The 27,704-nt window shown below is 37.3% G+C and overlaps 2 long non-coding RNA genes and 1 pseudogene across 3 annotated transcripts in view; 1 reads left to right on the forward strand and 2 right to left on the reverse strand.

The window, feature by feature from the left end:
- The window catches only part of MIR924HG (MIR924 host gene), a 545,072-nt gene that overhangs the window by 105,494 nt on the left and 411,874 nt on the right, over nt 1-27,704 (reverse strand). The window lies entirely within an intron of this gene.
- LOC101927879 (uncharacterized) lies at nt 1,823-15,591 on the forward strand. Of its 2 annotated transcripts, XR_007066450.1 has the most exons (4): nt 1,823-1,902; nt 5,401-5,514; nt 14,477-14,705; nt 15,406-15,591. It is a non-coding gene; the product is annotated as an uncharacterized LOC101927879 (long non-coding RNA). The 2 variants fall into 2 exon arrangements; XR_001753422.2 differs by lacking the exon at nt 5,401-5,514.
- On the reverse strand, nt 22,396-23,275 carry RPL7AP66 (ribosomal protein L7a pseudogene 66; annotated as a pseudogene).

Here is a 27,704-nt window from a genome sequence, read left to right on the forward strand (position 1 = left end):
AACAAACAAAACATTTATTAGGGAAAGGTGGCCCAGAAACTACTACCTGGGTTAAGAATGTGACCACATTCTTGTAATGCCTCCCATTTTCTACAGAAGGATGGCATGAAGACATGTAAGTACACTTGTAGAGGCATTATTCCAAAGGAGTTCACAGGTTCCTATGTAAACCCTGCAGGTGCAAAGCAACATAAGCCAAACAGATGATATTTCTAAAATTAAATGAGATACAACTACAGACACTTAAAATAATTTGATGCTATTTTTGTGAACCTCATTTTCTTACTAGAGACTGGAGCATAACGGAATATTTTGGAATTGAAGCAGCTTAATGTTGAAGGTTCTGCACTTGTCTTGAAGCTCAGACTGCCTGGGTGCAAATCTCATCCAGCATGTAATAACTGTGTGATGCTGGAAATATTTTTTGAATCATTATAAAAGTCTGGATTCTGATCCACAAAATAGAAATAATTATGATCCCTCTATTGTAATTTTAAAATAAGATCATCCTTGCAAAATATTTAGCCCTTCTGTTGGCACTTAGTAAGGGCTCTGTAAATGTTAGCAATTTAAATAAGAAAATGGGGAGGGAAATTGGTTCAATAGGAATCCAGAGATGAAAATATAAATAATAAGCATGTGAAAGACTATAAAAGGAATGAGTGTAAAAACTAAAGGAATAGAGAAAAATAAAGAAAGAGTATTTAGAGGACACTAAGTCAATTTTTTAGATCACCATGCCCTCAACTGTTCAAGGAAAAATCACTATTTCGATATTAAAAAATATTTATTGTGCCACATCACAGACTAGACACAATGCCAGACGCCATTAAATTATGTAATGTAGCCTATTCTGCACCAACATCTTTGAGGTGGATTTTGTCTTTGTCATTTTGTAGGTGAGAAAACCAAAACTCAAAGGAATACTGTAGGTCATATGGTAAGAAAGATTTGTAAATATCATTTAAATATAGTATCTTTTGGCTCTAAATCCAATGTGCTCTTCCCCCAACACAGAGCTTATGTACATGTTTTCCTTCCTTCTCCCCTCTCCTCTTGCTGACCCATTTTCTACTTCTCTTCCTGTTTTTTGAGCACTCCTTATGTGTGAAACACTGAAAAAAAAGAAAGTTAAAATTTGTTCTTTGTCTGTAGTGATTTTACAGTCTATTGGAGGACAAAAGCATGTGAAAAGATGCATACAATTTAACAGGTGACTTCAACAGGGACATGCATGGAGTGCCATTGTTTCTCACATCAACATCTGTGCCTGGAATACATTCTCTTTGTTTCAGGCTCCCAGATCCTGATATCCTTCTATCTTTCAAGCCTCAGCTCACGTTTATCATTCTCTCCCATAACTATACATACTCAGTGATTCCCTTTTATTTGAATCACTCTTGTGATTTATTGTCTATATCTGAAGAGCCTATTAAGATGCACAGCATTTGGCATCACCTCCAGAGTTTAATATTTGGAATCTGGGGTGGGCCCTGAGAATTTTCACTTTAACAAGTTCCTAGATGATCTTGCTGCTGCTGCTCCAGGGAGCATGCACAGAGCACCATTTACTACCCCAAAGGGCTCCCTCAGCATTTGCCAAACATTCCCTCTGGTCTGAGCTAATGTTCCTGTTGCATAGATCCAGTTTCCTACCTAGCTATTAGTCCCTTGAGTCCAAGAGATATTTCTTCTTACTCTTTGTACCTTCCCATAGCGATTAGAAAAGCATGCCAGTCAATAGTAAGTGTAGAGGAAGTTTGTTTAACTTGACTGGTTGATTAGTGGGTTGATTTACTGCCAGCTCAGTGGCTGTTTCTCTCCCATTACTTCCACCTCCCATGAGGACTGCACCTGCGGCAGCGATTTTATGTGAACTTGGATTACTGTATGGAAATGGAGGTGAGCATATGTAGATATTTGTATTATCGTATCTTTCAAATAACATCTCTCAAATAATGATACTTGTAAAACTTTTCCTCATGTTTATTTGCAGGGTAATGCATAGACAGTTGCCTTGGAAACACTCACTCTGAATATTCTAAATTTTCTATAATGGAAAATCTTGCCTTTACCTTATAATTTATAGTCTCTCTCATTTTTGGATTTTGCTGAGAATACATAATGAGATCCAAATGCTGATAAATGTCATTTTCTGAGGACATAATTGTTATATTCATGTATTAGTTTTGTTATAAACTCATTGTTGTCAGTCAGGCTTCTGAAGGACAATTATCTAATAAAAAATAAAATTTTAACTAAGGCTATTTAAAGTTGTGTTTTAACTGCCCTCTGTATAGTGTCCATTTCTTTTTTACTTGTACATTTTAAAATATTAGTTTTTTTATTATCTCTTCCCTCATAAATCAGAATTAAAGCTGTCATTTCCACATTTGTGTTTGTAGAACTGTTAGGCAACTTCTTTTTTAATGTCATTAAATACCAACTAGCCTTAATAATTCAGAACATCTGGTTCCAAAAACCCGATTACAGGGCACAGTCGTAACACATTGCATTTTCTACTAGACTCAGCATAGTCTCCATTAGTTATTGTTCCTGTTTACTCAGTTTTGAGCTAGACTCTCCCAGAGTACCAATTATGTCCTGAGAGCAAGTCAGCACACACACAAGGTGAAGAACAAGTTTGACAATTATCCTATTAATTTGATCTATGTTTACATGTATATAGCCAAACCAGATAATTCAGTACAAATAACTCACCCAAAGGACTTATTATCTGGGCTGGTTATCTACATAGATCAAACTAGATCTTAATAACTCCCAAATTTCCACTTTACTTTATGTCCTATAGACATAACCAAAGGTGATTCTACCTGCTCCGGCCTACGCATGCCGAGCTGTTTCTACAACAGTGGATTCAGCTTTCAAACTTATCACATAATTACAGAAAAGTTCTTGAAGACTAGAGGTATCAAAAATAGCTACTAATGAGTTATTATTGCATTTATTATTTCTAAATCAACAGGAATGTAAAATTTATTTGCATTGTCATTATCTCTTCTGTGTAGCATGAAGTCTAAGATTCATTTAAATATCTGTTCTCAGTCAGGGTCCATCTGACCACTTATATACAGGTACCTCTAACTGTCAATGAAAAAATCTTATATTTGACTATGTCTGAGCTATGACAATGTGATGACAATGAACATTAGTGTAAGCTTACTTTGTTAAAAATATTTATACAGGCATCTCTTCTTTTAGAATTTACAATGTGTGTCTACTGGACTCCTCAAAGATAAAGAAGATAATATTCATATGTGTACAGCCAGAGCTTTGCTAAAGCATGATATATACTCAATAAATGACTGAACAAACTTGAGTATTACAAAAATTAAACATGAATATTGTAGAAAATAAGAAAATAACAATGAAGAAGAAAGGTAATAATAAGATCACTAACTCACCACAGTAAAATAACTACTATTGGTATTTTAGCATATGCTCCCAGAAAGGATTCATTGCATACTTTATCTAATTTTAATATTTCATCATATTATAGAAAGTGCTTTGTAAACTTTTTTGCTAACCAGTATATCCAGTTTTTTTTTTTTAATCCTAATCTTTGCTCTTCACTATTAGGAAAACTTATATCAGAATTCAATGGTTCCCGGTTCTCAGACTTGAGAGTGCATCAGAATCACCTGGAGGGCTTGTTAGAAAACAGATTCCTGGACCTCACTCCCAGAGATTCTGATTCAGTCTGTCCAGGATGGAGCCTAAGAATTTGTGCTTTTAATAAGCTCCCAGGCCGAGCGCAGTGGCTCATACCTGTAATCCCAGCATTTTGGGAGGCCGAGGCGGGCAGATCATGAGGTCAGGAGTTCGAGACCAGCCTAGCCAACATAGTGAAACCCCATCTCTACAAAAAATACAAAAAATTAGCTGGGCGTGGTGGCGGGCGCTTGTAATCCCAGCTACTCAGGAGGCTGAAGCAGGAGAATTGCTTGAACTGAGGAGGCGGAGGTTAGTGAGCCGAGATCTAGCTATTGTACTCCAGACCAAGCAACAGTGCAAGACTCTGTCTCAAAATAAATAAATAAATAATAAGCTCCCAGATGTTTCTATGGTTCAAGGACCACACTTCGAGTAACACTGGATTAGACCATTATCTACAACACTCACAATGACAAAATACTGTGATATGTCTCCAGTTCTTCTCTACTCTCCTTATTAAATTAAAAAAAAAAACCATGAATAGATATTCTCAATTTGTTTGTTATGCCCTGGATTTAAAATGTTTCTGTCTTTATATTTTGTTATGAAACTAGGAGAATGAAACTATCTAACTTCCTATATCCAGAGAATAAAGAGAAAATGGTGCCTTGATTTAAAATTTGGTCTTAGTAGCTATCGTTACACAAATTTTTTCTTTGTGCAGCTAAGAAAGCAGTCCTTAAAATGCATATGAGCCAATAATTAGCCGATTTCTTACTCCTGATGGGTCCAAAAAGGCAAAATTTTTAAATGAAAGAAGCTTATGCTATTTTTCTTAATAATAGATTATGTATATTCCATTTTAGCTTTTCAACTTATAGTTCAATTAGGAAAATGTTTTTTTTTCCTTTTTATGACTTAGCAAAATTTAGATTGCAAAATTACTGTCTATGACACTTAATGTTTTTCTTTAGAAAAATGGTGAGTATGTGTGTGCAGGTGAGAATATACGTGTTTGTGTGTGCACAAGCGTGCATTCCAGGGGCTACTTAGTAGACTAAGACTTTAAAAGTTTAATCAGTGAAAAATCTTTAAAAAGATTCTACTTAAAATGTTAATATTCAACTTAGACTGTTCAGCTACATATAATAACTGCCAAAGTACTTGGATGGATTTCCCACAAGGTAAAAAGAGAATCTGGACTCTAAAAGAGAGACTTCCTAAAGCCAAAGAGACAGAAACTGGGGAGAAAGGAGGAGGGCTATATTGGAAACCAGGGAACGTCATGAGTAAAACTTATAAGGTGATTTTAGCTTATTCTAGCTTTTCTCTTAGATATTAAGAAAAGTCATAATCAGTATGCTAAATTATAATTTTCAAACAGTTAAAATATTATTCTCAGGCAAATACAAAATGAACATGTTGCAAACATTTTATTCATCTCACTAATTAATGAGAAGCCAGTAAGATATTAAAGTCAGTTGAAATAAATAGTAGAAAAACAGCCATATATAGATATATAATCAGCAATAATGAATGAATTTGCTAATAGATGTAAAACATATTAATAATCTATAGGACAATACAATGTGATGTTTAGACTCATCTTTTCTACAGGATAGAAATCAATTATATCTTTACTTGACAAAAATTATTTGTATTCTTAAGAACGAGAATAATTTGTAGTAATATCAGTGTTCTACTACTTCACTTCTTCCCCTACAGAATTATAATGTAGCACCTTCAACAGAAAGACAATCAAAGGTATACATCCTGACAGGTTCAGACCCCTGAAGGATCTGTTAGACAATGTCCAACACTCCAGTGAAAGAAAATACAGTAAGCCTTTTTGACCATTTCCTAATCTTGGGCATATTTTTCTGTCGGTAGACATTCAAAATTATCTTCCTCACGTAGTTTAATTTCCTTTTGTGGCAATGTCCTTAATCTTTCATTGAGACTGCTGCACCTACACAACTTTATGTGGAGGCTGTAAAGAAAAATCGGGAGTAGAGAGTTGTCACACAGGGAAATGTAGCCTAGCCAACCCTCTGTGTCATTCACCAGGAGACCTTCCTTGTGGCACAAACAACAGAGAAAGGAACTGAAACCAGACTTCATGAGCTCTAGACCGCAGCCAGCAAATAGAACACTGATGATTGGGAGCAGTTCAGTGGGTGCTCCCTAGAAAGCCGGTTAACCTTTTTTTGAAAGGGTAAGACTTTCACAGAAAGGCATGAATGAGTAATGATTGGATTCCATATGAGGAACTACATTGGTGCTGGAGAGGTTTTGGAGCTGGGATCCTGGGTCCAAAGGAAAAATAATGAGAACATTAAGATAAAACTACCTGCTAAGATATTTACTCTTGTTTTGCTCACATGTCAGCATGCCTAAGGGAAGAACTTGAGGAATTTTGAGAGTCCGATGCCACTCCAGTGGATTCCAAGTCAGATTGAATAGGAGTTGTTATGAAAGCCTGCCTTGATTTCACACCTATCTGCTAAAAGATGTTATCGCCCTGCCAGCCCTCTGAACACAGGCCTTTCTGGGAGAGGGAAAGCAGGCTGACAGCCCTGAAATGTGCCCAGGGTTTTGCAGCTGGAAAAGACAGATCAGAGTGGTGATTCAAGAAAATCCTGTCCCACATGGGTTCTGATAAACATGCAAGCACTAAAACATTAAGCCACCTTTGTCAGCAGTCTTACATCCTCCTTTTTGTTTCCTTTCCTGCTAAGTTCTTTTATTAGCCACAATGATAATGATGCTAATAAGAAGCCACTTATTCCACCCTCTGGAATGATTCTTAATAATTTATGATCTCCATTTTTGTCTAAAATTCAGCACAATTCAGCCTTTTAAAAAAAGTAAAAAAAAAATCAAGTTACACACAGAAAATGAATTATGCACCAAATTGTAAATATTCCATTTCTTTTGCTGATCTGAAACTCCCCAAAGAAATATGAACACCTGATTTAAAATTCAGCTGCAGTGACATTTCCTAGCTGGGAAAAAAATACTTGCAAAAATTCACAAGTATTTGCAAAAAGATAACTTTTTTTGGTGGATACTAGTACATTCTAATGTGTTTTTAAAAACTATCTTGTGCTTATATTCCCAAAAATGAATAAAATATAGCTTACTGGAAGTTTGTTCTGTGAATAGACTTACAACACTTCAGCAAGAAGGGACTTTGCATGGCTAGGGATAATTTCCTGACAGTAAAGATGCATGTGACAGCAAACTTTCTACCTGGAAAGTAGCAAAAGTCAGGTAAATGCCTACTATTACACTGCAGACTTAACTATTAGATATCTTGGCCAACTGATATATCACAACTGAAAACAATCATCCTGCTAAAGTCCAAAAGGAACTGGAAAAGCCCACCTGTTGTGTTTTCCACTGGGATTTCCAAATATAAGGAGTTAAATACATTAAGCTCAGAGAAATATTACTAGTATTCTCACTAATAACTTTTGTTTCTTTGTTTCTGTAAAACATTGCTCAGCTATGAAAGAATTAACTTCCATTCTTGACATACTATGTTAAATGACTTATGATGAGACAAATATCCCCACTGTCCAAGTGCTTTGGGCACATGGGTGAATAAACAGCAAATGGAATTGAAGCCAACATTCATCATATTGATGATTTCTCAACACACAGACATACAGCACACATTGTTGTACCCTAAATATCTTAACACTATGTTGAATAGCCAACACACAATTTGATTTTTGCATATTAGCAATAATAGGTGTTTCACTAATAACAGCTTATATTGGTATTAATTTATTTAATATACACTCAACACGTTTAGTGACTATATTTCAAAGCTTTTTGTGAGCATTAGTGAATCACATAACCTTGTGAAATGACATGGCAGGAATAGTTTACTTCATTTTTTCTATTAATGGACTAAGGATTATAGAGTTTATAAATTAGAATTCTAGATTCCTGAGTCCTACCATTAATCATCATTGATTGTCATTCTAGAGGAAGTCTACAGATTTTTGGGGTCAGAATCACCAAAGGTTTGTTTAAAATGCATGGTCTAAAGCTCTAACACAGAAGAAGGCACTACAGATCAGAATATGTGAGATAATAACAGCATTTAGCAAGCACCCCAAATGGCTTGCTTCTAGAAACTTTCCTAAATACCCCAGGATTGATTGATTAATTGATTGATGAATTTACTTGTGTTACAATATTACTTGATGTAATTCTGTCTGTTTAACCTGGAATACTAGCTACATAAGCAGAGACATGGTATGATAGCCCATATTAGAGGAAGACACAATGGTAGGCAGTGGGAGGCATCTCACAGAAAGGCCTCTGTGTCTGAAAGCAATGTACAGTTAACTCCAGAAAGTAAAGGGAAAGTCCACTGCAAGGGAGATGCAGATGTGGATAATCCAAGAGACTGCATTCTTTCTGGTTGACACAAAACACCATTGCCTCTCCAAACAATTTAAATTAAGCAAAAGCTAGTGGATGCAAATGGGTAAATTCTGGTGGGTTTTTTTTTTTTTTTTTTTTTAATTTTTGTAACTGGTTCCTGCAAGGCAGGCCTACATGAAAATGTGACTGATAAGATTTGTTTTTAATATCCTCCGACTCCCTTTTTCAAACCCTTCTTCTGTCTATACCTGCATACTCCTTTCCATACAAGTTACTAGTTCTCTGACAGCCTTGAGGAAGACCAATGGTAAAGCCACTAATGGTGGAGTATGAACTCAGTGATTTCCATTGATGGAATACATGTCACCTTTCAGAATGAGGTATTGCTCACCCTCTCCCAAATGAGGTAGCACAGGCTGTTGCCTCCTCATCCACTGGTAAGACACAACTAGATTTTTATACTCATGGCCAAACCACTCCTGCTTAATACCAACTTACTTCAACTCAGATTGCTTGAGACTCATTGTGGTTCATCTATAAGGCAAAACTGAGACAGGGATTAAAAAACCTCATCTCTAATTCCTGCTTTCTCTACATTGAGGTGTGTCCCTTGGAGCTGCCAAGTCAGGCTGAATTTTCAGCACATTCCATTCACCCTCAGTGAGTCTGCAAGTTGCATAGAACCTAAAGAAACAATCAATTCTGTCAGGGGAAAATAAATCAATCCCACCATTTTTTTGTCTTTGTTGTTGTTCATCAGAAAATAATTGATAATTGACTTTTTCTCACTTTTTCTATAATTTTGTTGTTCATAAATAACATTGCTGAAAAGCAAAAAAAGCGATTAATCAAAATAAAATTCACATGCAAATTTGCATTCTCTCCTCCTCCTAAGTTTACATAATGTGTCTTTGCTACCTATGAAAAGTGCTTATCACATGGTAAAATGATACGCACCCCCCAACACACATGCTTTCCAATGAAATGCTGGCATTATTGCAGTTGGAAAAGTAACAAAATACTATGTTACAATATTGCTAAAAGTAATAAAGCTTTCCTTGTTTTCCAAGAGCCATATCTAGCAACAATTCTATTTCTCTCTCTTTCAATTTCTCTCTCTGTATTTCTCACTCCTTCCCCCAGTCACCCTCCCTTTCTGGTCTTTGGTTTATCAATATATCAAAAAGCAAATGTGATGACTCCCCCATATATCTGCTTTTCAGATTTCATTCACCTCTGACCTGTAATTGTCCAATTTAGCTCAAGTACTTTTATTTATGCTATTCCCTAGACCTATACATTTTGATGAAAGGAACGACACTCTCTGTTCAGTGCCTTCAGAGAGCACTTTGCAGGTACCATCCGTTCAGAAAAAGCAGTCACCCAATACATGAGATTGTGACAAGGTATAATGTAATGGTAGTTATGCGAACCTCCAATAAACCAGCGCTACTTCACAGATTACTTGGAGAGAAAGTCTCTCAGCGTGCTTGAAGAAGTATGAAATGAATTTCATTTCCTTCTCATTTGCCTTGCTTCTGAAAGGTTTCATGCAAGATATGTGACCAACTATTATAGTACTAATCCATCCATGACAGAGCTCAATTTTCTCTGAGAATTTACTTCTGAATGGGCTTCCGAAATACTTGAAAGCTCAAAATTAAAGTACACTGAACAGAGCAGCCACTGAGCTGTGGACAACTGTCAGTCAAGAAAACCAGTTGGAACAAAATGTAAATTCGATTTTATTTTATTTTTTTAAAGTGATCTATAGTGATGAGGTGGTAAAGTTTTATAGCCCATTTCCAAACAAGAACAATAAGGAGGGAAGTGGCAAGAGCTGTTGTTGTGAGCTTTTCTCATTACTGCAAATGAAAATGGGAGCTTGTGTTATGGAAACTCTAGAAATGATGTGCAAACACTGTGGCTTGTTGTATGCACTCTTTGTTTTGGTGGATGAGAAAGTGGAATGACAGGAGCCAGCTGCCAGTCACTAGAGACAATGTCTATAGAATAACTGACACTGTGCATGGTGTTCTGGTACTTGGGCCATAATAGTCAGGGTATCACTGATGTTAGTTATACCAAGGACAGTTTTGGTCTATGGAAATAGCAGAATTTTAAAAATTCAACACTATTTGACTCCAGGAATTTGTGAGACTAAAGACTTGCTAGACAAACAAACAAACAAACAAACAAACAAAAAAACATGGCTGACAGAATTTCTAAAAATACTAATTTGTGGAGGTAAACATTCCTTAATACTGGAATCAAAACCTCACATTTAGTGCCTAGTATGTACCGGGGTCTGCCTGATATACAGTGGAGCTACGACAACATGTAAGGCACATTTCTTGATTTGAAAATCTAACATTCTAGTAACTGCATGAAAGGGAGAGAAAGAGGATAAAGAGCAATGCTTCTAGAAAGCTCTGAATTTATACTATAAGCAAAAAGTTAAGTGTCAAGGAGTTTCTAAAAGTAGTCTACTTTTTCTTTGAAATAAGAGAGACCCAGCAAACAATGAGCTCAGGGAAATTCTAGTTGAATTAAATACTTCTAAAGTATTTTTTGTTTGTTTATTTTTGAGAAGTTTGAGTGCAACATTTTTAGAAGGCATTGACAACTAAATAGCAATCAGACATTTGTCTAATAATGACTTTATATGAGCTACCACTCCTAGCCTTATAAGAAAGATATAATTCAAGAGAGAGTTGCATTAATGAAATAGAAAGAGAGTATACCTGTGAGACGGTTAATTTCAGGTTTCAGGTGTGGATTAAGGAACACCTAGAGACCTAGTAAAGCATAATTCTGGGTGTATGTTTTAGAGTGTTTCCAGAGGGTAATGGCATGTGAGTCAGTAGACTGAATGGGAAGATCCATCCTCAATGTGGGTGACAATCAGCTTGGAGCCCAGATAGAAAAAAAAAAAAAAAAGAATTTCCTCTCCGTCTCCTGGAGCTGGAAGACTCTCCTTCTCCTGCCCTTGGACATCAGAACTCCAGGCTCTCCAGACTTGGGATTTCAGGACTTTTACCAGAAGCTTTCAGGTTCTCAAGCCTTTCACCACAGACTGAGAATTATACCATTGGCTTCTCTGGTTCTGAGGCTTTCAGACTTGGACTGAGCTATGCTACCAGCATTCCAGGGTCTCCAGGTTGCAGATGGCTTGTTGTGGGACTTCTCAGCCTCCATAATCACATAAGCTAATTCCTCGAATAAGTTGTGTCTCACACACCTATATCTATGCTATAGCTATAGCTAGAACTTATTAGAGGAATTATTTTTTTTCTATCTGGGCCCCCAGAAGATTTTCATAGCTATAGCTATAGATGTGTGTATATATATGTGTGTGTATATATATATGTGTATGTGTGTATATAGATTTTCATAGCTATAGCTATACATGTGTGTATATATATGTGTGTGTATATATATATGTGTATGTGTGTATATATATATGTGTATGTATATATGTGTGTGTGTGTATATATATATATATATATATATATACACACACACACATTTGTTTCATATATATATATATATGAAACAAAACCCCAGGAAATCCAGGGAAGTGACAGAATGAGGTGTGCTGTTAGTCTTTTGTCTGATTTCTTATATCACGCACATATGATGTATGTGATATGTGATATATGATGTAAGATATAATAGCTTATAGCTAGAGCTATAGATATGATATTTAGCTATAGATAGAGATATTTGATATGATATATGATATGATAGCTATGTCACCATAGCTATAGCTATACACTATTCGTTCTGTCCTTCTGAAGAGATCTGACTAATACAACCTGGGTGTGATGATGCAAAAAAAGGAGAATAAAACAAGGCATGATATAAGATATATATATATATATATATATATATGAAACAAATGTGTGTGTATATATATATATATACACACACACATATACACACACATATATATACACACACACATATATACACACACATATACATACACACATACACATATATATACACACACATATATATACACACACACATATATACACACACATATATACACACACATATATATACACACACACATATATACACACACATATACACACATATATATATACACACACATACACATATATACACACACATATATATACACACACATATATACACACACATATATATACACACACACATATACACACACACATATATACACACACATATACACACACACATATATACACACATACACATATATATACACACACATATATATACACACACACATATATACACACACATATATATACACACACATATATACACACACACATATACACACATATATATACACACATACACATATATATACACACACACATATATACACACACACATATATACACACACACATATATACACACACACATATATATACACACACACATATATACACATACACATATACACACATATATATACACACATATATATATATACACACACATATATATACACACACACACACATATATATATGAGTGTTTTAGACAGAGACAGAGAGAGAGAGAGAAATTCATTTTCCTTAGGCTAGAAACCCAATCAAATCAAACAGATAAAGGGTACAAAGTGATTGTACAGGATTCCACAAAGCTCTACTCAGCTCCATCTTCCAAGGTTTATGTAATAGATGAACAATTACAAAAGGTTAATGCATTTCAAAACCCTCCTTTCCCCTCCCACCTGGGAGACAGCAGATTAAGTCAGGATGTCACAGAACCAGATGTTCTAGTCTCTCTCCATGATGACATTTACAGACATTTGAGTTAAAACTCCAATGCAATCCGAGTACTGGAATAATAGAAAATTGGGTGACTGCTTGTTTGATTGTTGTCTTTTTTAAAAGGCCAAATTCAGTAAGTTTAAAACATCTTTCCAATTTTTAGCTGCTAAAAATAAGCTTGGAGTTAGTATTATATTTGAGTACAGTAATTTAAAGAAGGATACTTAAACTTGCCTTAATAACCTAAAACTTTAGAAAGGTCATTGTGGTAAAGGAATCATTTAGGCATTCATAAAAGCATAAAGTACAAAATATTCTCTGGCATGGAGAGCCTTATTTCCAAAGCTAAAATTTAAAATCTGATGTGCTTCCTCAGCAAAATGTTTGGAAAAAGAGTGAATGAGATAGGGCAAGAAGGGTAGAGTATGAAAAATGATGTTTCTAGAAGGTTCTAAGTCTATAAAAGAAACCACAAACTCAGTGTCACATAGCTGCTGGCAAGGAATACATTCTTGAAATTGAAGAGGGAGGTTTAGTGAACAAATCTATGGAGACGGAAGTCCCAAGTCATTATAGTCTAGTCAGACCATTTTTAGAGTTATTTTCTTCTTTAATCTTGGAGGCAACATTTTAAGAGGCATTGACAACTAGGGGGCAAGAAGTATGGCAAAAGCAGATCATTGCCTTGTTTGAAACATGGTTGGAAAACCCAGGCAGTTTGACTTGGAGAAGAGAAGATGGGTGGGGAGGGGTGGGCATGATGCAGGGATTGAGCAGAAAAAGCACTAAAAGATTCTTTACTTCTAAGTAATATGGATTTTGAAATAATTTACAGAAGCAAGAAGGAGAGGAGAGGCTTTGTCCATATGTATCATAAAATCAAAACTGGGAGAATCGCTGATGTTGCAATAATGTAGAGTGTAGTAGGGGGATTAAGAGCATGGCCTTCAGTTCCTGGCTGCCTAGGTTTGATTTTCAGCTTGGCCACTTAGGTCTCTGCAATTCTGGGAACATTAATCCTCTCTTTGGGGCACACTTTCTGTAAAATAGAATGAATGTAGTAGTGCCTGCCTTCAAATGATTTTCTAAGCATATGTTAAGGAAATGGTCTGATACATATAAAGTACTTGGAGCAGTGCCTGACCTACAGAGGCTGTGTGATACATAGGAACCCCTAGCATCAGCTCCAGACCATTGAAAAATGGTCTGGCCAGGAGAGCTGTTGCCAAAGAAATGAACAAGTGTGAATGCTCATGGGTCAAGGTGGCTGTAGCAACTGTAGTAATTTAATTAATATTTCCTTAGAGTAAAGAAGAATTCTTGGAGGTGCTTGAAAATAGTTATTCTTCCAGGACTAGCCCAGTCAGACAGTAGCAGGCTCCAGAGGAAAAACTAGCATAAAGCCTTCCAAAATTTATTTCTTCCCCTTACAACTTTTTATTGTGGTCTTAAGAACCCCAAACTGTGAATGTAGAGAATGGGTTGAGTTTGTCCCTAAGCCACAAGAAGTTGCTAAATGCTTGTCTTTAGAGTTCTCTTTGTTTATAACCTGAACTAAAAAAAAAAAAAAAAATCCCCAGTAAATCCATCTGCGTGTTTCCCTGTTCCCACCTACCTACAGGAGTGAGAAAGTGTGGGAATCATAAAAGAAGGCAGAACCAAAAGACAGAGGGATCTTGGGCCATGAGTCACAGCAAGGAAAGCCTCCCACCAAACATCTGCACTGGACTCCTACAGGAACAAGAAATGAACTATCGTGTTCAGCCCCTGAGACTTGGGCTTAACATGATTTTCACATTGTCTACCCTACCTAATAGAGCAGAGATGTAAATATTATTCTTATTTTAGAGGTAAGTACTAACTCTATTCTTATTTTGGGGTGTGGATATAAGACTCAGAGGATCCCAGACATTTTTTACTCCAATTCCATTCTCTTGCTGCAACGAGTGTTTTGAAAAGCTGCAATCAAATAGTAATAGCAGATAATAACTTAGAGCTACAAAATACAAAGCACTGTTCTTAGTGCCATATATTTCACACATTGTTTATATCCTTAGATACATGCAGAAAGTAAGCACTGCGATTATTCCCATTTAACAGGTGAGAAAGTTAATACATGGAAATATAAAATAATTTACCCAAAACCACCATTTATGTAGGTGCTGGAGCCAAGATTATAACCCATGAACCCGATTCTGACTAAATGTATAACCAACATGCACTCCAACTTCCAGAAAATAGGGGATTTCACTTCAATAATGGACTTATGCTTTATGGGGAGCTAATCAGCATGGAGAAAGGGCAGTGGTGAAAATTATAACAGCCTGTGCTATGTGTCTCCTGATTTTGATTTTGTTCGATGTTTAGTGTTTCTATGTAGTAATTAAGATTATGTGAGGACTTTGCAAAAGATCTGTCCATTTCCAGTAAGCAAAGGACCATTGCAGACATGAATGCAGGGGTTTGAATGACATGCAGCATCAGTTGACTTACCTGCTAGTATGTGGTCTTGGCAAAAGATATATTATCATCTTGTTAATCCCATTACAGGTGTGATGCCTCAGCTGCAATGGGTGAGAACTACTCCTCATTTATTCTCTTCCAAGGCAATAAAAGAGAATGGACCAAAGACAGTCTGTCATCACATCTAGTCAAAAGAGCTAATGTCGCAGTACAACTCTTCAAAAGAAAAAGAAAAAACAAGAAAAAAGTAATAAACAGATGTGTTCTGCTTGATTGTTTGACTCCTTTTTCTTGTGTTTTCCTCTGGAATTTCCCTGTAGCTAAAGGCCTTTGATATTCTATGTCTACAAGATGATGGCATCGGTGGTAGTGATGGTTTCTTCTTTTTCTCTTTTTCCTTCTCCTTCTCCTCCTTTTTTTCTTTTCCTCTTCTTTCCTCCTCCCTTCCCTATTCTCCTTCGTCTTCCTTTCTTTTCTCCGTCTCCCCTTCCTCTTTCATCTCCTCTTATTATTATTATACTTTGTTCTTGATCTAAAACAGCACTGTATTAGATGCCAAATCTTTAGAAATTAGAAGTCCTGACCAGGCACAGTGGCTCACGCCTGTAATCCCAACACATTGGGAGGCCGAGACGGGCAGATTACCTGAAGTCAGGAGTTCGAGACCAGACTAACCAACATGGCAAAACCTCGCCTCTACTAAAAATACAAAAATTAGCCAGGCGTGGTGGCATGCACCTGTAATTCCAGCTACTGGGGAGGGTGAGACAGGAGAATTGTTTGAACCCAGGAGGTGGAGATTGCAGTGAGCCGAGATCATGCCACTGCACTCCAGCCTGGGCAACAGAGTGAGATCTGTCTTAAAAAAAAAAAAAAAAAAAGAAGTTCTGTGTTCTAAAACAAGTATTGCTACCACCTGCATTACTGAGAAAGTCCCTTAAATTACCTGAACCTCAGTTTCCTCAGTTGTAATTAAATAACTGTTAATTAATTCAATCTAGTTCACTCTATCAAGAGTATCATAAATAATAACTATAATTTTAAAAGGTATTGAATTTACATACACTTAGTTTTAGTGAAAAAAATATTAGCTGTTACCATTATTGTCATTTCAAGCTAATCACTGTATTAGAACACACCATCATCCTTTAAAAGTGCCCAATGGCCCATCTGAAATGGTCATCTATCTATCTATCCATCCATCTATCATCTGTCAAATATATATATTTTTTAATTTTAAGAAGCAGGCAGCCTCCTGAGCCAGAGTTGGCTAAGAGAGACTCTCTCCAATTCTTGTAACTTAACTTTTCTCATTCTTTTTTTGATCTTATTATTAAATTTTCACAGATTAAAGAACACAGACATCTTACTTATCTCCAATCTCACAATATACATTTGTACTAACCACTTGGCACTGTGTGATACACATAATATTCTGTTTTGATTTTTGAATTGCCACAAAAATTTGATATGTATTTAAATTGAGGGATATTGAATTTTATTTAAATTTGGTTGATATAAGCTTCTTCAGAGCAGGGATACCTTTTTATATCCACAATAATATCATGGACAGGGCTTTGTATATAGTGTCTCTCCAAAAAATGTCTAGTTATTAATGGTGGCCAAATTACCCAGTGTTGACAATTTCATACCCCAGCAAATGCTGCAGTTGGTTGATGTTTATGACTTTAATCAGGAGTCTTCTCTATTTCTGCAAGAAGGATATTTTGAGAGGGTAACAAGTGAACTCAATCACAAGCCTACTGGTGCTTATTATAATTTTCATTCTTTATGTAGAACTTCCTGGAACTCCTGAGTATTTCCAGAGATGTCCAGTTATGTTATACTCTTTGATGAAGATGACTGAGGGTTGAGGAAATGAGGCTTTCCAAGAGGTTCTGGCAATGAGATTTACCATCAATCTGCTGGCACCCACCTAATTATAGCTTGGCCATGTCTTTCCTTCTCATTTATCCCCTGTGATTATAACAGGGTAAAACAACAAAGAATTCTGTACTGTCAGCCACAGGAAGTAAAAATGGAGCATAAATGTTTTTCATCTGCCAAGTAAGTATTTTTATTCCATGGGCATAGTGTTTTTGTATTTAAAATGACAGATCCTGTCACAAAGGGTCTTAATATTATATTGAAAAGATATCTGTATTACAGCAGAGGTTAAAAAACTCATTTATTTATAAGACTCTCAGGTCCTGGAGAGGTCTTCTGCCTCTTTCTCCCTGCAGACAGTTAATATCATTGAAAATAAAAAGCTGTTATATTATATGACAAGGCACAGTGGTATTAAAAACAAACACAGGCTGGCTGGTGCCAGAAATGTGCTCCAATGCTGGTAAACTGTTGGCTCTAATTGGAAAAAAAGTAGGTGTGGGGATTTTTGTTTTGTTTTGTTTATTTCTGTTTTTTTTTTTTTCCTCCCAGCTATTTTTGCATTTTTCCATGCAGATCTGGCTCATTAAAAAGTTACACAAATAAGTTACATAAATTAAAGCAGGATTTATTCCATGAGGTTTCCAGGTTAAGAAAAAAATAAAACCACCTAAAGAGTAGATAAAGGATGAGAACCGATCATGCAGCCAGCTGGAGGGATGGCATGTCTTTAGAAGGCTATGGAAAAGCTCACAATTTTAGAAAGGCAAGGGGCAATAAACCAAAAGTGCTGACTAAAATAAAAAGGGAGGGCTACTCACTCCTCTGCAGCCAGTGTGGCCTTTTATTACCTTTATCCCTGAAGCTTTGGAGCTTAGCTGAAAAGTAAGCGGGCTCAGGAACTGACACACTGTACTTTTTGAACACAAGGTCCATCAGTGTGATGCAGAAGCATTTTCACCTCACATCAGACACCTACTAGGGGTTCCTCCACAGGACTCCACAGATGTTACAACTGAGCAACCAGCTCACCAAATGAGGCCAATGGCAGCTGGTCCTGTTGAAGTAAAGACCATGGAGTAAATGGGCCTCAGGAACTGAGTAGGGCTAGGACCCACTGCCATAGACTAGTAGGTTATTGTATGAGTCACCTGAAAGCACATTAGTAAACCTGTCCAGAAGAAAAAGAATGCAAAGCCGAAGTGCAATTCAGTGAAAAAGTAGCCTCACTATTCTACCCAAGAATACCAGCTAGTAGGAGAAAAGGGTATGCCTGATCCCTTATGAAAAAATTACATTTAACTTTTCTTCTCTAAGCCAAGATTCATAACAGGTGAAGAAGAAACAGCTGGAGTGTGGTGATAATTTAATTTTTAATTTGTTTTCTCTGCTCTAGGCATTCTTCAACTCAAAGCAATGTTTTCAGCTTTGTTCATTCTGTTTTTTTATGTTTGAAGGAAAACCAACTTTGATCAAGGATTTTTATCAGTCAAGACCACAGACCAACTTCGATCAGTTCATTCAGCAAGGATTTACCTAATACTGCTGTGGATAGGGTATTGCACAAAGACTATGGGGAATCCACAGCCCTTATCCTTAGAGAACCCACTATCGAGGAGGGAAAATAGGATATACATAGAAGAGTCTCAAAAGCAGTGCCATTGAAGGGATACACAGAACCAAAACAGTGTGAGAGATGGACAGACACACAGTTTTACTTAAAATATAATTATGCTTGTGTTGGATAATTATCTTAAAAAGTTTCAAGCATATCTATTCTTTTGAATGCCAACCTAGTTATCAATGCAGTTTTCCTTGATATCTGGGAGGTTTGGTTTCAGGATCGCTGGCAGATATCAAAATCTGCGAATGCTCACGTTCCTTATATAAAATGGCATAGTATTTGTATATAGCCTATGCGCATCCTCCCATACACATTAAATCATCTCTAGATGACTTCTCATACCTAATAGAATGTAAATGCTATGTGAATAGTTGTTATACTGCATTGTTTAGGGAATTATTATAAAGAAAAAAGTCAGTACGTAGTCGGTACAGACACAACCATCCATGTTTTTTTAGCGAATATTTTTGAGGCAAGGTTGATTTAATCCTTGAATGCAGAACTTACACATAGGGAAGACAGACTGTATGTACTAACGTAAGACAAGCATTTTTTTTTCTAATTCTAAAGAGAAATTGATACGTAAATGAGCTTTGTTTATTTAGAAAATTTGGGCATGAGAGACAATGCTTATTAATCTAATCAGTCTAAACTTTATTCTATAAACTTCGGTAATATTTCCTCAAAGCACAGTGTTAAAAAAAAAACCTGTCACAGAAAAGGTGTGAAATATGTTTATTTTCAGAGATCTGAGATGATGATACTAGGCCAGACCTCAGACCATTCACAGTTAACTAGCTGGTATTATGGAGGAGGGAGATAGAATTAACACAGGATTTGTGGGTTAGACTGTGATGAAACTGTTTCTAAAAGCTTCCCTTCATTAGTCTTTTTGACCATAAAGAGATTTCTTGAGGTCATACATGTGTGTTTACATATCACTTAGAATCTGAATTACTGATAAGTAATAAGTGATACAGAAGGCTTCTTCCACAATTTCATGTGCTATTTTTTTTTTTGGTATTTTCTTCTCTCAATATGACTGCTAATAAAAATCCTTAAAAGAAAACTAGGTCTCTTCTTCCTTCATAGTTAAATACTACTGCCAATGTTATTTTTGACATATTTGAGAATGGCTAAACATTGACATTGGACTGTGAACATGCGGCTGAGATGTGAGTTTCTAACTGGGGGCTTCACTAGCAAGAATTCTAGTTTCCTGTTCAGTTTGCATGAACCTCTTCCTGAAGTAAACTTCCATAACGTTTGTGATATGATATGAATGACATATTTTGCTGCTTTTAAAATTTTGTCTCTAGTGGTTTATAACTTTTTTATGTGGAAACCCTACATGGCCAACCTACAAAGGAGAGCCAAAGATTTCTTTCTTCATATCTCTGTGGGATCTTTTTTGGGAATAAGCCCAAAACAGGTGCTACCTATGTCATTGGAAATAAATAATTGGTCTTACGGAGAGAAGATAGCTCAAAGGTGGTATGTGCATGGCATGAAGTTATCAGGATGTGGCTTTACTCACAATGGGCTTGACTTTTCAATGCACTCCAACAAGCATTTATGGAGTGCCTATGATGTAGAAGGCACTGTGTCATGAATTGTGCCAGGGGTAGGACACAAACACAAAGAAAATTATGTCTCTTACCAACCAGGATTTTCCATTTAATTGGGAAAGAGCCATACATTAAAACAGCAGAACTATCCCCAAACACATGCAAAGAGAACTATAATTAACACCCAAAGCCATAAAATATTATGGTTGGAGGCAAAGGGAGATAAAAATCCCAAAGGGGATAATTTTAGTGAGACAGTCAAAAACTACTAGACAAACACACTTTCTACAAAGTAAAAGTCAACATATAGTGAAAAGGGGGAGGGGAGAATGTAGGCAACAATTGGTATGATTAGCCTAAATGGTGCTAGAAATCAGTATGTTTGACATATTCTAAAATTTTATTAGTTTTTATTTCACTATTTGGTAACTCATAAGCAATGTCATCCATGACTGACTTGGCTATAGAAATATTCTGTGTTTCGACTAATTGCTCTGTCAGGTTTGTTTCCTGGGGATACAGACTTCTGTTTTTAATAGTCTATATTTAAGCTATCCCAGAGATGCTATATTGTGTCAAAACAACCTAATAGAATGGTTCACTGCTCTCCAAGAGGCACTCCCCCCAGGCTTAAATATTCTTTCTGACCACATCTACATATATAAAAATGTTTTTAACATTTAGAATATGCTAATATAGTAAGCAACAGTTCAATCAAGCAATGGTCAGAGATCAATCTGACGCAGAGTTCAGATGCTTGAATAACAGAGCTGGCAGTTTCATGGTCTTTCTTTCTCTGTTTTAAGTTCCTTTAGAGACCAAATGAGATAAATTGCTATTCGGCCCATTGCTTGGGGATAAACATTAAATAGTTTATCTGGGCAACCCAATCACCTCCAGCCAGAGCAGAGAATTGGCCTAAATAATGAAGGTGTGTGTCATTCATCTCTTTGTCTGGCTCCTGGTAACCTTGACAGGAATGAGTGGAGACATGCTGATTTGTATACACTCAATAATTCAAGGTGTTTGCTTATCTTTCCTTGTCAGATGCTGCTCATCCCAAGTCTATGTTACCATCTAATTAGCCATTTTTCTTTACTTTGCTTTTTCACATAGGCTTTCTTTTTTATTTCATGAATTTAATTTGCAACCAGTCTTGCTGTTATCAAATATCACACTTATTTCATTTGTTAGCATGTTTATTAGTTTTTTATTCATATTCTCGATATAGCCTCTCCCCCTTTTTGATTCACCCTCAATGTAATAATCAGTTTGATTTTGTTTTCTAAAATATAAATGAAAATCATACTAAAAACATCATTCCTCAACTGCACTTACTGAAATCACATGATATATATTTTTGACTCTGAATTCTTTCTCTGGCTTATTTTAATCAGCTTTTCTGGCATTTAGTGCTCTTTATAGAATCCTAGGTGCTTGTTTTTTCACTGTTCCAGTTCTTATACGTGAAAATACTAGAGTTGCTTATCAATATTCCTGGCTCTTCTCTTTCTGCGCCATCAAAGGACTCATCCCTTCCTAAATCTCTGGGCTTGCCATCACCCTGTGATTCTCCTTGACCAATGAACTGTAAGCAGAGATGGTGGAAATATTTAATCACTTGTATAACACTCCCCTGCATGACACCCTTCTCTGCCTCTATGACCATGAATGCAATGTAAAACTGAGCTATTATATGGAAGATAACTGTCCTGCAGACAGCAGGATTTGCAGGAAACCCTGGGTGAGTGAAAAATAAGCCTTTACTATTTTAAGCCATTGAAATTTGTGTATTGTTCCTTTTTTTTTTTTTTGTTTTGTTTTGTTTTTTTTGAGGCAGGGTTTCATTCTTTCTACCAGGCTAGAATGCAATGGCATGATCTTGGCTCACTGCAACCTCTGTCTCCTTGGTTCAAGCAATTCTCCATCTCAGCCTCCTGAGTAGCTGGGACTACAGGTGTGTGCCACCACGCCTGGCTAATTTTTATAAATTTTTTTTGAAGAAAATTTGTATTATTTTAATTATTTTTATGTACAGAAAACTCAACAGTGTACATTTAACCCAGTTTAGTGGCAAGGTCTTTAGCCTTTGCCTTTTCGAGCTTGGCGATACGAGCCACAGACTTAGGACCCAGGACGTTGCCGCCCCAGTGACGGCGGATCTCATCGTATCTGTCATTGTAATTGGTCCTGATAGCTTCCATCAGCTTAGCCAAAGTGCCTTTGTCTTCCGAGTTCACCTGTGTGAAGGCGACAGTGGTGCAGGTCTTCCTGTGGACTAGACGTCCCAGTCTTGCCTTCCCCTTGATAATGCAGTAAGGGACCCCCATTTTACGACACAGGGCAGCCAAGAAGACAACCAGCTCGATGGGATCCACGTCATGTGCAATTACCACCAGCTGAGCTTTCTTGTTCTCCACCAAGGTGGTGACGGTATTAACTCCTGCTCGAAGGACAGGTGGTCTTTTCGTGGGGACGTCCCCTTTGCCAGCAGCTTTCTTCTCCTCCCGGGCCAGCAGTCTCTGCTTCTTCTCTTGCTTTGTCTCTGGTCTGTATTTGTGGGCCAGCTTAAGCAGCTGAGTAGCTGTTTGGCGGTCCAGGGCCTGGGTGAACTGGTTAATCGCAGGAGGCACTTTCAGCCGCTTATAGAGGATGGCTCTCTGCCGCTGCAACCTGATATAGCGGGGCCATTTCACAAAGCGGGTGAGGTCTCTTTTGGGCTGGATGTCCTGTCCAATGCCAAAATTCTTAGGCCTTTTCTCAAGCAGGGGATTCACCACTTTCTTAGCCTCCTGCTTCTTCACGACAGCAGGGGCCGGAGCCACCTTCTTTCCCTTGGCCTTCTTTCCTTTCGGCATCTTGGGCGGCGGGAGGAGAGCTAATTTTTATATTTTTATTAGGGATGGGGTTTCACCGTGTTGCCCATGCTAGTCTCAAACTCCTGAGCTCAGGTGATCCACCTGCCTCGGCCTCCCAAAGTGCTGGAATTACAAGCGTGAGCCACTGCCCCAGGCTGTGTGTTGTTTCTTATCTCAGCATAGCCTAAGCATAAGTTAGCCTAACATAACCTAATTAATATTCTATATTTGTAAATATTCTGCAAAAGTATTTATTCGGTGGCAATCTATCTGTCATAAAAATTATGTGCCCAACATTGTGCAATGCCACAGGAAATATAAGAGAAACTCTCCATCTATGAAGCTTTAACATTCCCAGGAAGACAAAGCTAATGGGCACAAAAGAATTCTAGGGCAAGTCAGATGAGTGCGTGACTAAAGAATTAACTTTGGGGTATGGTTTGTAAGTACTATAGGAGCATGAGGAAGGTAAAAATTCCAAGTGGGATAAAATGGACCAGCAGAGAGCAGGATAGAAGGCATTCCAGGAGATGGAAAAGCGAACGCTAAAGCAAATAAGATGGTAGGTAAGACAATGTGGCGGGGGAGAAGAATTATCAATGAGAACAGGTGAAAAAGAGACTCCAGTGGACAGGTAAGGGCTCCTAGCCTGATCTTCATTGTTCTCTATTTCTTTCATGTGGACAACTTTTTTCCTCTAATAAGCTGTGAATAGTTACAGATGAAGAAATAGGCTTTCTTTACTTCATCACCATCAGTACTCCTGTTTCCAAAATGGTTCTGTTTCTGTAGGGCCAGTCATTCTGAAATCTGAACTCAAAAGAGTCCAGAGATCCTACAAGTATTAAAAGGGTAGATCTAAGCCCTATGTACAAAAAGTTCATCAGATGTGCCTTCTGCCTCCTAGGAACTTAAAGTCTAAGCAGAAAACTGTGCACACAAATGTCATGCCAACCATGAAAAGTCATATACCAAACGTGAATTGCATTTTTGGATCCTCACTAGTAACCAAACCCACCACCCAGCGTTCCAGGGAGGCATCCCACCTCCCACCCTGCCTGCTGCATGCTGCTACCTTTCCAGCTATCCCTTCTGAGAGCTTAGGATCTGATATAACACCTCCTTAGTTTGGATTCTTCACTTTTGAAATCTAAGACTATTTTCTCTACAACCTGGTGACCTTTCTGACATCAGCAACATTAAACCTCAGAAAACAATTAACTAAAAATCTACCATAGTTATAACATTGGCAGTCTTAGATGACTTTGAGTTTTATTTCTTACTTTTCTTTAAAAATTGCCTTCAAAACTATAGAAAGTAACTCTAGAAATGTGCTTTCTTTTTCATGTTGTATAGCATTGTAATTGTATACACAGTTGTTAAGACCAGTTCATTCAGCCTTTAAAAAAAAATGAAAAATCAGGGAAATTTCAGCACATAGACAGGCCTCACAACGGATCACTGAGAGTAGCAGATGTTATGTCTTCTAGTCCTTTCCATGTATATTTTTTAAGAATCATAACCAGGCTGGACTCGGTGGCTCATGCCTGTAATCCCAGCACTGTGGGAGGCTGAGGCGGGCAGATCACCTGAGGTCAGGCGTTGGAGAGCAGCCTGGCCAACACGGTGAAACACTTCTTCTACTAAAAATACAAAAATTAGCCGGGCATGGTGGTGCATGCCTCTAATCCCAGCTACTCGAGAGGCTGAGGCAGGAGAATCACTTGAACCTGGGAGGCGTAGGTTGCAGTGAGCTGAGATCGCACCACTGCACTCCAGCCTGGGTGACAGAGTGGGACTCCACCTCAAAAAAAAAAAAAAAAAAAAAAGAACATAACCAGATTCCATTCAAGGTGTATAGCTTTTGGTCCCTTCTCATTCATCTATTTTAGAATAATTAATACTTTTGGAGAATATTTGCTTTCTCTTTCAGAAGCAGTCTCATTATAGTCTTTAAAATAAATGCTGGAATGTGATTGGGGGCTGTAAGTGGCACCTAAGTTCCCATTCTTCCTTAAGTACATCCCTCCTAAGGGCCACCATGATTTAATCTGATGGTCCCACTGAGTGGAAATGATTGGCTCCTCACGGTCTTTTTTCTATTTCTCACTTTAATTACTCCCCACCCCGACATACACACCTCCTGTGCATGTGTTTAAACTCACATATACTAGAAAGAAAATAAGCAATCTTTGACCTCTACTAAAGCTGTCTTTAATTGGACTGATGTTTTTGCCTGTCCAGGATTCAGGGCCTCAAAATTCCCTAGAAGCCCTAACTTTGTTTTGCAAGATGCTTTTGACCAGCTGGACACAGTCTCACCATTTGATCCAAACCAATGACCCAAGTCCCCAGTGCTCCATCTATTAGACCTGCATAATCATCCAGCTTAGCTGTGCATTGTCCATTTTAATTAAGGGTGTGCTACACCCATTAGAGAAAGTTTATGAGCCAGAGACTGAACTTATTTGTGCATGTTCCAATCCCACAAGTGGAGCTTTAGTACCTCCAAAAGAGTAAGAATAATAATAAAAATAACAATAATAATAATGAAGGCTGTGTCTCCTTGAATACCAACCTCCTGCTAAGTGCCCTTTCTCTGTTTGAATTTCTTGCTAATTCAATGCCATTAAAATAGAATCTTAAAGACTCTGTTCTGTCAAACACAAAAAAGAGAGATATATAGAGTGTGGGATTTAATTATCACTGCTCTATATCTCCAAATGTGAGTTTTTCTGAGTAATAATTGCCCAAGTTTGTCTTCAAAAGGCATTTTAATAGTGCTAATACTAGTAAATATTGCTCATTTTGATACTGATGTGCCGTTTTAATGGTTCCCATGGTTTCTAAAAGTCATTTCTTATCGTTTTACTGTAGAAAGAATCTTACTTTAATTATGTCATAATTGTTTGGAAGCCATAGAATCTTAATTAATGCCAATGGCTTCAAGGCACAAACCAAATGTAGAGTTTATATTCATGTTTGTTTCTTCATCTCTTTCTCCCCGAGAAGACACTCCCCATGAGCTTTTTCAAACTACCTTCATAGATGTTTTAAAGATTCTGGTGATGTCATTCCTTTATTTTTCTAAGTCAGATTTTCTCAGTGTCACCTCAGAATTTAAAGGTTAATATGAAATCAACATTCAATCTTCACGGGGAAACCTTTATCTCAAGAATACAGTTGTTCACTCTCCTGGTAAAAACAGAAACCTCCAATTGCTCCCTAGAGTGAATGGGATGAACTCCAAATGTCTTCCCTCAGAATCCCAGAACTGCTGCCAGCCAGCAGGGCTTTCTCCTCCTAAAAAACCACCTCCAGCAGACACACCCCCAACTTGTTCTATTGATTCTTTCCTATCAACATGGCTGCGCACTTTCCTCCTTCTACCAGAGTCCTAGCATGGCCCATTTCCAGTCTCAGAACCTCTCTTGTCACATCATCCCATGCAAGCACAGAGAACTATACTCCATTCCCCTGGCTGCAGGAGTCAGAGATTGACTTCATTTACATTCATGGCTCTTTTATCTCTTAAAATAACTTTACAGAAAAGACCACGTCCTTAGAGCCTTTGGGTTTTTCATGGTGTTTTGCATAAGGCCTTGCTTGAAGCAGATATTCGTTAAATATTGATTTAGTGATTGCCTATGGACTTTCTCCTAAGGATCTAGCAAGGTTTCAAAGCTATACCTGGAAAATAAATATATCCTTGTTTTGTATTAAAGAATCCGCATAGGAGTTCATTCTCCTAGAAGCAGAGAGCTAGAATTGACTTTGAGAGAGTATATTTTACTACATTTAATAGAAAAAGGAAGGTTATGCCCAGAAAATTTAATTATATTTTTTAGGGTCCCACAACTAGTGGGTAGTAGAGCTGTAACTAGATCAGAGATTTCCTGACTCAAAGTGCTAGAGTTTCCCCCTATAATTTACACAAGTGTCACATCAATCACTTTCATTTAGCTATTCCAGCGATCCATCTGATTGTTTTAGTCAACTCCCCATTATGCATGCTAGCTGGTAAGCACCAGATAGCTATATGGAAACCACTGCTAATCTAACATTCCATTTTCTCTTTAGTTTCAATCTTCTACACAAACTGAGATTCAAGTAACACCAGTTCATTTATCTGAATTGATTTGCCAAAGACTTTAGGTTTTGACTGAAATGGAGAGGGAATTTGTTCATGAGTCCCTGGGGAGTAAGGCAGGGGAGGCAGCAAAGGGGAAGAAAAAAAGAGAAAGCAGAGACAGCAGCATGATCTCTGCCCTTAGTTCAATTACATGACCTGATGCCCAAGTGTAGTTAGTAAAGTTACTGATTTCACACGAGGAAACAGCAGTCCTATAGAGGTCAAGATAAGAAATGTTGATGAAGTGTGGTAGAGAGGGGTGATATCTTCATTCTGGAAAACAGCCTAGATGGAAAAGTATACAGTTTAGTGGCTTT

Source organism: Homo sapiens, chromosome 18 (genome assembly GCF_000001405.40).
Source record: "Homo sapiens chromosome 18, GRCh38.p14 Primary Assembly".
Classification (NCBI taxonomy): domain Eukaryota; kingdom Metazoa; phylum Chordata; class Mammalia; order Primates; family Hominidae; genus Homo; species Homo sapiens.